The sequence below is a fragment of the Homo sapiens genome, chromosome 10 (assembly GCF_000001405.40).
Source record: "Homo sapiens chromosome 10, GRCh38.p14 Primary Assembly".
In the NCBI taxonomy this organism is placed as follows: Eukaryota; Metazoa; Chordata; class Mammalia; order Primates; family Hominidae; genus Homo; species Homo sapiens.
This window is the reverse complement of record NC_000010.11, coordinates 1103114-1115209: the sequence shown is the minus strand read 5'-3', so window position 1 is coordinate 1115209 and position 12096 is coordinate 1103114. Positions and strand designations below refer to the sequence as shown.

Sequence of the window (12096 nt, the reverse complement as noted above, 5' to 3'; positions counted from 1 at the left end):
CATGTTGAGATGATCTCCTGTTTTTTTCAATGCTAAAGTTTATCCGCATTGCAAACACTGCCAGCCCGGCACAAGGCAGAGCCACCTGCCACCCACAGAGGAGGCTTAATGGCCAGTGACACCTCGCCTGTCAGCTCCTTTTTATAGCAACCAAAATAACAACAACAAAAAAAAAAAAACAAAAAAGGGAGATGGGGAGGGGAGGAAAACTCTACGGGATTGGGGTGTGCTGAGGGAGGTCTGAGGGCTGAGGCTGAGATCTAAACAGGCAAATGTCATGACAGCAAAAGCCTCTTGCAGGCACGTCTATTCACCCACGGTCTGCACAGTGAGGGCCCACGCTGGAATGGCCTGCGTGTGGGTTCAGCCCCCTGGGTGTGTGCAAGGGAATGCAGCAGCCAGGAGAGGGCCAGACTTATGGAATTACACTGCCGGGTGAAAAACACACGAACAGAAAAGAACTTAGTTCAGGTGAAAAGCACTGACTTCCAGCTGCAGCTCCTGGTGGTTAGGACAAACACAGGCAATCTCGGAGCTTCTGCGGGTTCCGTTCATTCCAGAACACGCTGTGAGGTGAAGATCGCAGTAAGGCGGATCACAAGAGCTGTCTGGTTTTCCGGTGCATACAGAAGCCATAGCCACACCATCCTGTAGTCTGTTAAGTGAGCAACCGCATTACCTCTAAAAACGCAATGTGCATTTCTTAAGTAAGATAAATTTTACCACTAAAAAACACTAACAGTCATCTGAGCCTTTGGTAAGTCATAATCTTTTTGCTGGTGGAGGGTCCTGCCTCGATGCTGATGGCTGCTGACTGATAAGGGTGGTGGCTGCTGAAGGCTGGGGCAATTTCTTAAAATAGGACAGCAATGGAGTCTGCTATAGCAATTGATTTCTCCTTTTACAAAAGATTTCTCTACCGCATGTGATGCTGTTTAAAAGCATTTTACTGGGGCCAGGCATGGTGGCTCACGCCTGTAATCCCAGCACTTTGGGAGGCCAAGGCAGGTGGATCATTTGAGGTTAGCAGTTTGAGACCAGCTTGGCCGATGTGGTGAAACCCTGTCTCTACTAAAAATGTAAAAATTAGCCAGGCATGGTGGCAGGTGCCTGTAATCCCAGCTACTCGGGAGGCTGAGGCAGAAGAATTGTTTGAACCTGGGAGGCGGAGGTTGCAGTGAGCCAAGATAGCACCACTGCACTATAGCCTAGGCAACAGGGCAAGACTCCCATCTTAAAAAAAAAAAAAAAAAAAAAAAGGCATTTTACCCACAATTGAACCTCAAAACTGGAGTCAGTCCTCTCAAACCCTACCACTGCTTTACCACTGAAGTTTATGGAATATTCAAAATCCTTTGCTGTCATTTAAACAATGTTCACAGCATCTTCACCAAGAGTACCTTCCCACTCAAGAAACCACTTTCTTTGCTCATCCATAAGAAGCAGTTCCTCGTCCATTCAAATTTATTGTGAGATTGTAGCAATTCAGTCCCATCTTCAGGATCCACTTCTAATCCTAGTTATCTTCCTGTTTCCACCACACCTGCAGTGACTTTCTCCATTGAAGCCTTGAACCCCTCAACGTCTCTCAAATTCCTGTGACATTTTGACCTTCTCCCATGAATCACAAGTGTTCTGAATGGCGACCAGAATGATAAATCCTTTCCAGAAGGTGCTCAATTGACGTTGCCAAGGTCCATCAGAGGAATCACTATCTATGGCAGCTATAGCCTTACAAAGTGTATTTTTTAAATAATAAGACTCAAAAGTCAAAATGACTCCTTGAACCATGGGCTGCAGAATGGGGGTTGTGTTACCAGGCATGAAAACACCATTCATCTCCTTGTACATCTCCGTCAGAGCCCTTAGGTGCACTGTCAATAAGCAGGACAATTTTGAAAAAAAAGTTTTTTCCTGAGCAGTAGCCTCAACAATAGGCTCAAAATATTCAGAAACCATGGTGTAAACAGATGTGCTCTCATCCAGCCTTTGGTGATCCATTTATAGAGCACAGGCAGAGTAGGTTTCACATAATTCTTAAGGGCCCTAGGATTTTCAGAATGGTAAATGAGCACTGGCTTCAACTGTAAGTCACCAGCTGTACTAGCCCCTCACAAGAGCATCAGTCTGTCCTTCGAAGCCAGGCAGTGACTTCTCTTCTCTAGCTAGGAAAGTTCTACGTGGCATCTTCTTTAACAGAAGGCTGTTTTGTCTACACTGAAAATCTGTTATTAAACATAGTCATCTTCATCGATGATCCCAGCTGGATCTTCTGGAGAACTTGCTGCAGCTTCTCCATCAGCACTTGCTGCTTCACCTTGCACTCTCATGTTATGGAGACGGCTTCCTTCCTTAAACCTCATAAACCAACCTCTGCCAGCTTCCAGCTTTTCTTCCGCAGCTCCCTCACCTTTCTAAGCCCTCACAGAATTGAAGAGTCAGGGCCCTGCTCTGGATTAGGCTTTGGCTAAAGGGAATGTTGTGGCTGGTTTAATCAATGCAGACCACTCAAAGTTCCTTCATATCAGCATTAGGATTGTGTTCTTATCATTCGTGTGTTCACTGGAGTAGCAGTTTTACTTTCCTTCCAGAACTTTTCCTTTGCATTCAGAACCTGGCTGTCCAGTGCAGGATGCCCAGCTTTCAGCCTCTCTGCCTTCGACACATCTTCCTCACTAAGCTTCGTCATTTCCAGCTTTCAAGTGAGGGACACGCAACTCTTCATTTCAACACTGAGAGGCTGCTATAGGGATGTTAATTGGCCTAATTTCAACAGTGTTGTGTCTCACTCATGAAGTCAGAGGCATTAGGAGAAGGTGAGAGACGAAGGAACGGCCAGTTAGTGGGGCAGTCGGAACACACACGATTTATCGACTAAGTTCACTGTCTTCTATGGGCAAGGTTCCCAGGGCCTCAAAACCAATTATAACAGTTACAGCAAAAGTCACTGACCACCCTCATATAATCACAATGAAAAAGTAAGAAGTATTGTGAGAATGACCAAAATGTGAGAGAGAGGCAGGAAGTGAGCACGTGCTGTTGGAAAACTGGCACCAACAGACCTGCTCAGCCAGGGCTGGGCTCCACAGACCTTCATTTGCAAAAAACATCAATCTACGGAGTGCAATCAAACAAGGTGTAAGAAATAGCCACCAAGGCACGTGCCTGCAGTCCCAGCTACTTGGGAGGCTGAGGCAGGGGAATCGCTTGAACCCAGGAGGTGGAGGTTGCAGTGAGCCGAGATTGCACCACTGCACTCCAGCCTGGGCAACAGAGCGAGACTCCGTCTCACAAAAAAAAAAAAGAGAGAGAGAGAAATAGCCACCAACAGCTGAATTCCTGTGACACACTGAAATTTTCAAATTAAGCCTTTTTATTATTTCTAATAACAACACATACTACAACTTCACATTTCTGCTATATGAAGTATCTAAAATTGCTTTTCATATAAATCAGTACACGCTGGGTCACTAACAAACAGTCAAATAAAAACAGCCACACAGTTACGCCAACTAAGTACTATCATGGTAAAATTCCTGCTATAATACAGAGATGCCACAACACAGAGTGGAAAGAAATAAGACACATCAAAAGGAAAAGGTGACTGGTCCTTCTAAACACGTAGGATCAAAGCCTTCAGCAGCTCACAGCACGGAGCTCCATCCCCATCCAGCAAAGGTAATGACCACACGTTTCAGGGGACCCATTTCGCTACACTTTTCTTTCTTACAGTGAAGCATTGGAACTCAAACTCCAGTCTTTCAAAAAGGCACAGAATGCAAGTAAAAGTATGGGGATTACAGTAAGAAAAAAAAGAAAGTGGGGAAAAATCTCTCCTGGAAACTGGATCACAAAACTGGGCCAGTTACCTTAAGCCTTTAGAGCTACTTCTTGCCTTAAGAAAACCCAATATACAGCAATTCACCTTAACTAGACAGTTAATTATTTACATTATAAAAGACATTAGATTCCAACATACTATACTAAAGAATTTACGCTTAGTTCCTACAAGTGAAAATACGCCCTAAGATAAAACTTTGAAAAGCACATTCCACATCATGTTAATATAAATTATGTGAGAAAGGGTATTTTTAGTCACACATGTTGAAGAAATACTGCCTCTGTTTAAGGGGTATCACTAAAAACACCATGCATATAACTTTCCAGCCTACATCAACAAGAACAGCAAACTTCCTAAGAACACATGTCTGACTTTTGCTTTCAATGCTCAGGAAAAGAACTAGTGAAAAGAACTCAGGATCACCCTGTAAAACCGGCAGAGCTACTTCCCGGATGAGCAGGCAGTCCTGCAGGCCTCAGGCCCGGCCCTGGGCCAACATTCCCACCTATCAGGGTGCCAGGCCCTGTGGGTCTGGGCGCTAACACGCTGGACACCCATCGGAGGCTCACGGATGTCCTTGGCGATGCCGTGGCCACTGCAGAGAAGCCCCCGGCGCAGAGGGTCCCTCAGAATGACATGGTGGCAGGGAAGGCAGGGGACCCAGGGTGTGCTCTTACAAGTCATGTTCAGAACGTCCCAGACAAGTGACCAAACGGAACACACACACACAACCTGGCCATTCCTCTCAGGAACTAAACCCGCACCCCGGACCTCACCCAGGTGTGCTGGGGCGCGGACGCACATCTCAGGACCTAAACCGCACTGCGAGGCCCTCACCCTGGTGTGCTGTGGCGCGGATGCACAGCTCTACACATTTGTAAGGATCACGCACTCTGTAGGTTTTATTTGTCGTATTGGCTCGAACCTACAAAACCCATGCCGGAGACAAAGGCAAGTGTTACTAAGAAGACACCTCAGATGAAACATTTTTGTAAAATGACTCATTTCCTGCTTTTCTCATTATGAGGCACGTCTAAAGGTTTACAGCTGATCTGATGTCAGGAAGGAAGAGTTTGTGTTCAATAAAGGCGTCCACGGCTCCACCTGCTGACCAAGCCCTCATCCTGCATGCGCACAGCTGAGAAACCGCCAGGCCGGTGAGGGGAAGCTCAATGTCCAACAGCCCAGCGGACTCGCCCCGACACAGCAACAAAATTAGCGCCAAAGAGAGATCTTTTCAAAACGTATTTTTGGATGTACACATCAACAAGATACGCTAGTTCATGATAATTTGAGTAAGAAAAAAGAAAGCGTAAACGATCTGAGTAAGCATGGCCCGGGCAGGTCTGGTCCACGTTCACCTCACCCCCGTGGTTCAGGTGAATGGAAGCACAGCCTACAGCCTGGAAGACCCATGTGGGAGAAAGGGCACACGGGAATTACACACTCCACCTTACTCTACCCCCACACCTGATTCCAATAGGAAGACATAAACCCTAGGAAACTGTATTCATAGGTCCACATTAGTAAGAACTTTTTCATAACACTTACTACATTCTTCATAAGTACAGCTCTCTAAAAAACTACCATTGTTTCATGTATCCACTAGCTGCAAAAATGTACCACAAATTAACCAGAATTTTTTTTTTTCTGAGACGGAGTTTGGAGTTTCGCTCATTGCCCAGGCTGGAGTGCAACGGCGTGATCTCGGCTCACCGCAACCTCCACCTCCCAAGTTCAAGCGATTCTCCTGCCTCAGCCTCCCAAGTAGCTGGGATTACAGGCGTGCGCCACCACACCTGGCTAATTTTGTATTTTTAGTAAAGACAGAGTTTCTCCATGTTGGTCAAGCTGGTCTCAAACTCCCAGCCTCAGGTGATCCCCAAAGTGCTGGGATTACAGGCGTGAGCCACCGCGCCCAGCCTAAGCAGATATTTTAAAGATGCCACCAGCACTGACTTCACTTCACAGTCAAATGGCCAAGACCACACGGTTGCAACAGCCTTAGAAGCGAAAACATGCACTTGCAATCAACTCTGGTGATATAAATACAAAAACTTTTCTTTTTACACAAAACAAAAATAAAATCTTCCAGTTAAATATGGCAACTGAACAGAGACAATACAGGACTAGAAGGGTCTTAAATAACACAAGAGGCACCTTGAAGGCACCAGGAGGGACTGCTCTGGAATGACCCCCTAGAGCCAAACCCTCAGCAAACCACCTGGCCTCCTCATGCCTCAGTTTCTCTCTCTGAACTGGGGTGATGCCAGGGGCTCCAACAGTGCCTGGCACAAACCAGCAACTCACCAAGCCCTGGCTCCACTGCGTCCTCCTCTGGACAGAATTCTTCGGCCTTTCCATCCTGCCCTCAAAGGGGACAGGCACAGCAGGGCACACTGGCCTATCCCTGCAACCCCCATATCAGAAGCACATAGGAAGCTGCCCTGCTCTCTAGACACAAAACTACCCTCTTCACCCAATTCTCAAAGCTCTGACAGATTTTTGTGCTCCATACAGATGACCAGAGTCAATGCAGTGAGAGCTGCTGGGTCTTCCCAGCCTGGGGCAGGGAGCTGTGCCAGGATGGTGGCACTCAGGGCCCTGCAGGTTCCACGGGGGGGGGGGGCATCACAGAAGCCAAAACCAAAGCAACCACAGGGATCACAACCACCAACACCAACAAAGTGCAGGTGTCTATGCTCGCTAATACTCAAAAAACACAGTGCCAACTAACCAGTGTAGACAGAAGTACAAAGATCCCCTTCTGCAGGACTCAGCGTAACAATGAGCTGAAGCCCTGGACCGAGGAAAGGTCACTGGGGAATTAACATCCATAGAATAGTGTCGCTTCGCTATTTGAAACAGGAGAGCACCTCTGGCAGGCAGACCTGCAGACGCCATCTTAACTGCAGGAGCGCTTCAGCACACCAATAGCACAGCAGAGGGGCACTTAAAGGAAGTCATAAGAAAAATGCAGAATGAGGGGCGTTCTGCAAAAGAGCAGGCTTGGATTCTTCACCAAAAAACTCAATATCCTAAAAAGTAACAAAAAATGGGGGAAGGACCATTCTAGATTAAAAGAAGCCAAAGGACATAATATCTAAATGTGATGAGAGAATCCTGATTAAATCCTAGCTCTAAAAAAAGTATCAAAGACATTTTGGGGAGAACTGAGTAAATTTAAATGTGGACCAGATAAAGGATGCCATAGAATTTTTACTAATTTTCTTATTTGAACAATGGTACTGTATTAGGAGAACATCCTTATTCTTAGAAAATGCATGCTGGAGTTTTCCTTTCAAAGGGCTCAGCCAAAGAAAATATACAAGTGTGTGTTATAGACAGAGGTGTGTACACATCTACAGAGACAGCAGTGCTGCAATACAACAACAGGTGAACCTAGGTGAAGGATAAGTGGGCGTGTCTGTTACAGACAGGTGTGTACACATGTGTAAATAGAGACAGCAGTGCTGCAATACAACAACAGGCAAACCTAGGTGAAGGGGAAGTGGGCGTGTGTTTCAGAGAGAGGCGTGTACACATGTGTAAAGAGAGACAGCAGTGCTGCAATACAACAGGCGAACCTAGGTGACAGGGTAGTGCGTGTTGTGTGTTACAGACAGTGGTGTGTACACATGTGTAAAGAGAGACAGCAGTGCCGCAATACAACAGGTGAACCTAGGTGAAGGGTTAGTGGGCGTGTGTTTCAGAGAGAGGTGTGTACACATGTGTAAAGAGACAGCGGTGCTGCAATACAACAGGTGAACCTAGGTGAAGGGTTAGTGGGCGTGTGTTTCAGAGAGAGGTGTGTACACATGTGTAAAGAGACAGCAGTGCTGCAATACAACAGGCGAACCTAGGTGAAGGGTTTGTGGGTACACTGTACTACTCTGTTGGTTTTTATGTAGGCTTGAAACTTTTCTAAGCAAAAAGCTTAGGAAAGCACTGCAGGCGCAGGAGTGAGACCATCTTGCTCCTCCCGTCCTCTAGGCCTCCGACTGCCCTTCCAATGAATTCTCATGAGAAACAGCAGGGCAGTCATGCGGGCCCCTCTGCCCCGCCCTACACAGTGGTGCCAGGTGGTGGGCCCAGGTCCAGCCAGGGCTTTGCTGTGGGGCCCCTCTGCATCTGGTGGACGTCGGGGAGCACCACATCCAAGCTAACATGCATGGGAAGCAGCGCTCCCCGAGCTGCAGCATCTTCCTCACCAATGAGCTGGCCTGCAGCGGGGTCAGGCCCATGTGGCGGAGCTCATGGGGGCCCAGCTCAGCGCCTGCTGCACCCTGATGCAGCAACAACACAGTGCTGCGTTCAGCCACTGACCACCGGGAGGTCTGTATTACTATGGCTATCGCTGACGGAGCTGGCAGAATAAACGCTGACCTGATGTCAGGACGGAGCAGTTTAATGCGTGTGATGCCCCCAGAACAGACCCAGGCTGCCATAAAGATCTCTACGCATGGTCGTGACTGCTGCCTGCTCCCGTTCCAGCCTCAGAGTCAAGGAATTAGCTTTCCAATCTCAAGCTTCTTTTTAAAAACGTTGTCCTGGCCAGACGCGATGGCTCACACCTATAATCCCAGCACTTTGGTAGGCTGAGGCAGGCGGATCACCTGAGGTTAGGAGTTCAAGACCAGCCCAACCAACATGGTGAAACCCCACCTCTACTAAAAATACAAAAATTAACCAGGCATGGTGGTGGGCGCCTGTAATCCCAGCTACTAGGGAGGCTGAGGCAGGAGAATCGCTTGAACCCGGGAGGCAGAGGCTGCAGTGAGCCGAGATCATACCACTGCACTCCAGCCCGGGCGACAGAAAGAGACTCCGTCTATTAACAAACAAACAAACAAACAAAAAGTCCTATTTTCCTTTCCAACATCTTACTAACATTTTGAACATTAAATCTAAAACTTAGTAACTAACGTTAAACATATAAAACAGATTTTCATATTTGGAGTTCATTTATAAACCTTTCAATGCACACTGCTTATCCAGACGTCGGGGTGGAGAGCAGCACTGGTGGGAGGTAGGGGGAGCATGGAGGAGCGAGGAGCGGCCGGGAAGATCCCACAGGCATGGCTGGCAGGAGACTTGCCAGTGGACCACAGTGGGGCATGATGGGGGAACGGGGAACAGAGATTAAAAGAGAAGAACCAGGGAACACTCTAGGTAGACAGCCCCCGTGACTGGGCAGACGGTCTCATCATTGACTGAGCAGGGCCAGACTGGGGGAAGGAGACGGTCACGGAAAGAACTGAAGAGTTCTGTTAAGACCTTACACGGCTGGGCGCGGTGGCTCACGCCTGTAATCCCAGCACTTTGGGAGGCCGAGACAGGCGGATCACGACGTCAGGAGATCGAGACCATCCTGGCTATCACGGTGAAACCCCATCTCTACTAAAAATACAAAAAACTAGCCAGGCGTGGTGGCAGGTGCCTCTAGTCCCAGCTACTCGGGAGGCTGAGGCAGGAGAATGGCGTGAACCCGGGAGGCGGAGCTTGCAGTGAGCCGAGATAGCGCCACTGCACTCCAGCCTGGGCGACAGAGCGAGACTCCGTCTCAGAAAAAAAAGACCTTACACTTGAGTTGCCGGAGAGAAACCCAAGCAGAGAGGGACACACTGGATTGAGGGTCTATGTCTGTGTTTGCGCGTCTATGTGTATACCTTCTCCCAGAATATACCACGCAGACACGTGTAATAACAAAAACTAGATGGAAAAGATCCAGGAGACACCCCGTGGGTAGGAGTAACAGCTCCCGCGGCTCCTATGGTGGCGTGGCCGGCCCCTGTGCTCAGCTACAGGCTCTGGCAGCCCTGCTCTTCTCTAACCCTCTCCACCCACTCCCCCATTCTGTCTGCATTAAACTTCTTGAGAGAACTTCGGAGGGTGCCTTCTCTTAATCTCCTACATCCTTTGAAATAGCCAAAATGGAGCTAAATGTTTAGAAAAAGAATAGCAGAATTTGAAAGGTAGTTATTTTTTTGAAAGATAGTAGAGTCGGAAATACTGAAAATTAAGGCTAGAATTAAGTTTTCATGTCAACCCACAGAACTTTTTCATGACTAAGGACAGATGTCTAAACTACCGCAACTCACTCCGTGTGTCCCTGGAAAACATTCACCGAGTGGATGGAGGGGTCCCTGAAATCCCAGAGGCGGAAAGTCGTGTCACGGGAGGAGGTCACCACGAGCCGCTGGGTGGGGTGTGTGCAGCAGTGCGTCAACTCCTGGTCGTGCCCTGTAACCAAGATGGCAAAACACAAGGTCATCACCTGAGGAGCACGCTGAGAGAGACGCTTTTCAACAGCACAAGAACCCAAGAAGCCGTCTCTCTGAGACTGTGAACCTGACCTAATGGAATCACTCAGCAGCATGTGGGTCACAGTGGGGCAGGTTTTCCCTCAGAAGCTGAAGTCCTTTCAGCCGTCCATGTCAAAGGAACAGAAAACCAAACAGGTGCATAACCCATTTTCTGACCCTACCAGTTAGAAGGTCAGGCAAATTAACAGGTTGAATGTGAGAACCACTTAAATCTTGATTCTTTGCTTAGAATACCTTCTAATGATACAACGCTATGGGTCCTCAGTCAAATACAATCTTTAACGCTCATGCAGGAAATGCACTTAGAGATAGATTCGCAGAAGCAACTTCAGCAGGCAGCATCCCAAGATGGCCCCAAGCCACCCCCACCCCGTACATGCCTAACACCCTTCCCTTCAGTTAGGGCAGAGCCTGTAAATAGGATGAGATTATCTTTCTGGTAATTATGATACATTATAAGGCAAAAAGGATTTTGCAGATGTAATTAAGGTCCCTAAATGAGTTGACTTTGACTTCATCAAAGGGAATATTGTCCTGGGTGGTCTGGCCTAGCCCTTAAAAAGGGTCCCAGAAGTTGGAGAGTTCAGAGCAGCAGGGGAGCTCCAGCTGCAGAGGAAAGCGGCTGCTGTGTGGGAAAGGCAAGCCCTGTGCAGGGGCCCCAGGGCCAGACACAGCCTCTGCACGCCCAGAGGAGCCCCGGCTGGCAGCTGGCAAGAAGACAGGGCCTCAAACTCCAGACGCAAGAAGGAGCTCCTCCAATGACCAGCAGGCTTGGAAGAGGACCGCAGCCTTGGGGAGGTCCTGACCAGGCAGCACCCTCACTTAGGTCTTTGAGGGCCCAGGGAGAAGAGCAGCTACCACGGGCCCAGAATTACTGACCTGGGAAACCATGAGGCCGTCAATTCCTGTCGTTTTAAGACACTAAGATTGTGGAAATTTGTTACAGAGCAATGGAAAACTAATACAACTACCATATGTCCAATATCTAGATACTACATGCTACAATTTAAAACCCCTGAAGACAAAATAAATTTAGCTACCAATAGTTCTATTATTAATAGAAAGAATCTCCAAAAATTACCACAGAAGAGCCAAGAACACAGAGACTCATTCTGGTCAAGAAGTAAGTGGCAAGGTCAGACATAACCCATGGACATAAACTAACATGCACAGCCAGGAGGCGGCGGACTCAGAGAACCCAGGCACCTGTCAGAGAGTGAACGAGCTCGGACGTCTCCACGTCGTACAGGTTTGCCGTCCGGTCCCAGGAGGCAGTCACAGCCTGCTTCCCCCCAACCAGCCAGTCGGAGGCGATGACCACGCCCTGGTGGCTCTTGAGGGATGTCAGTGGGACGCGGATGGTGGGGCAGTCGCTGGACACATCCCCATCGAGGTCGGGCTCGTCCTTGTCAGAGCACTCTACTTCATCTTCCCCAGATATCTGCTGCCAAAGGGAAGGCCAGAAAAGAAAGACATTTCCTGGAAATCTTGAGTTTCTTCTGACATAGCTACAAAATAGATGGTTCTCATTAATCTCTTGAGGACATATCCATCATGATGGTCACCACTAGGAGCCTGGTGCTGGCCACAGTGATGAGTATGTCCTCCTCTGACCCATAACTGCTGCCCGTGAACACCCATCAACTCTACGACCATCTCGTACAGAAAAAAAAGTGGAATCCACAACATTGTCAACCGAACTACCATTTATTTCCACGCATCAACAGAATGGCAAATAAAATGATTTTCAACATTTAAGCTTTCATCAGTTACTAGTAGAAATGCAATATAAAACTAACCAAATACAAATGAAAGTCAGTAATTTATCACATTACAAAAAGGCATTTTCATTCTCAAGAGCCTATTTAAAATATACTTGGAATTCTATTGCTATAGTCATAAGAGTCTATTTTCCTTTGTAACATCAAG

At 47.8% G+C, this 12096-nt stretch overlaps 1 protein-coding gene across 1 annotated transcript in view, besides 5 other annotated features; it reads right to left on the bottom strand.

The window, feature by feature from the left end:
• WDR37 (WD repeat domain 37) overlaps positions 1–12096 on the bottom strand; it is a 75988-nt gene that overhangs the window by 17163 nt on the left and 46729 nt on the right. Inside the window, exons 10-11 of the mRNA NM_014023.4 lie at positions 11374–11608; positions 9943–10084 (exon numbers count right to left, since the gene is read on the bottom strand). Of these exons, the coding sequence (NP_054742.2) occupies positions 9943–10084; positions 11374–11608 (377 nt within the window). The remainder of the gene's footprint in view (positions 1–9942; positions 10085–11373; positions 11609–12096) is intronic.
• Positions 3861–4441: an enhancer, noted in NCBI's record as "H3K27ac-H3K4me1 hESC enhancer chr10:1156709-1157289 (GRCh37/hg19 assembly coordinates)". NCBI's record gives its function as "activates a minimal SCP1, AML or CMV promoter by ChIP-STARR-seq in primed H9 embryonic stem cells {active_cell/tissue: H9 hESC(primed)}" and the evidence as "EXISTENCE:reporter gene assay evidence [ECO:0000049][PMID:30033119]".
• Positions 3861–5541: a biological region, named in NCBI's record as "MED14-independent group 3 enhancer GRCh37_chr10:1155609-1156808".
• Positions 4342–5541: an enhancer, noted in NCBI's record as "MED14-independent group 3 enhancer chr10:1155609-1156808 (GRCh37/hg19 assembly coordinates)". NCBI's record gives its function as "activates an origin of replication core promoter dependent on BRD2, BRD4, P300/CBP and CDK7 cofactors, and independent of MED14, by STARR-seq in HCT116 cells {active_cell/tissue: HCT116}" and the evidence as "EXISTENCE:reporter gene assay evidence [ECO:0000049][PMID:35650434]".
• Positions 4442–5024: an enhancer, noted in NCBI's record as "H3K27ac-H3K4me1 hESC enhancer chr10:1156126-1156708 (GRCh37/hg19 assembly coordinates)". NCBI's record gives its function as "activates a minimal SCP1, AML or CMV promoter by ChIP-STARR-seq in primed H9 embryonic stem cells {active_cell/tissue: H9 hESC(primed)}" and the evidence as "EXISTENCE:reporter gene assay evidence [ECO:0000049][PMID:30033119]".
• Positions 4818–4967: an enhancer, noted in NCBI's record as "active region_2900". NCBI's record gives its function as "activates an Ori minimal core promoter by ATAC-STARR-seq in GM12878 lymphoblastoid cells {active_cell/tissue: GM12878}" and the evidence as "EXISTENCE:reporter gene assay evidence [ECO:0000049][PMID:35858748]".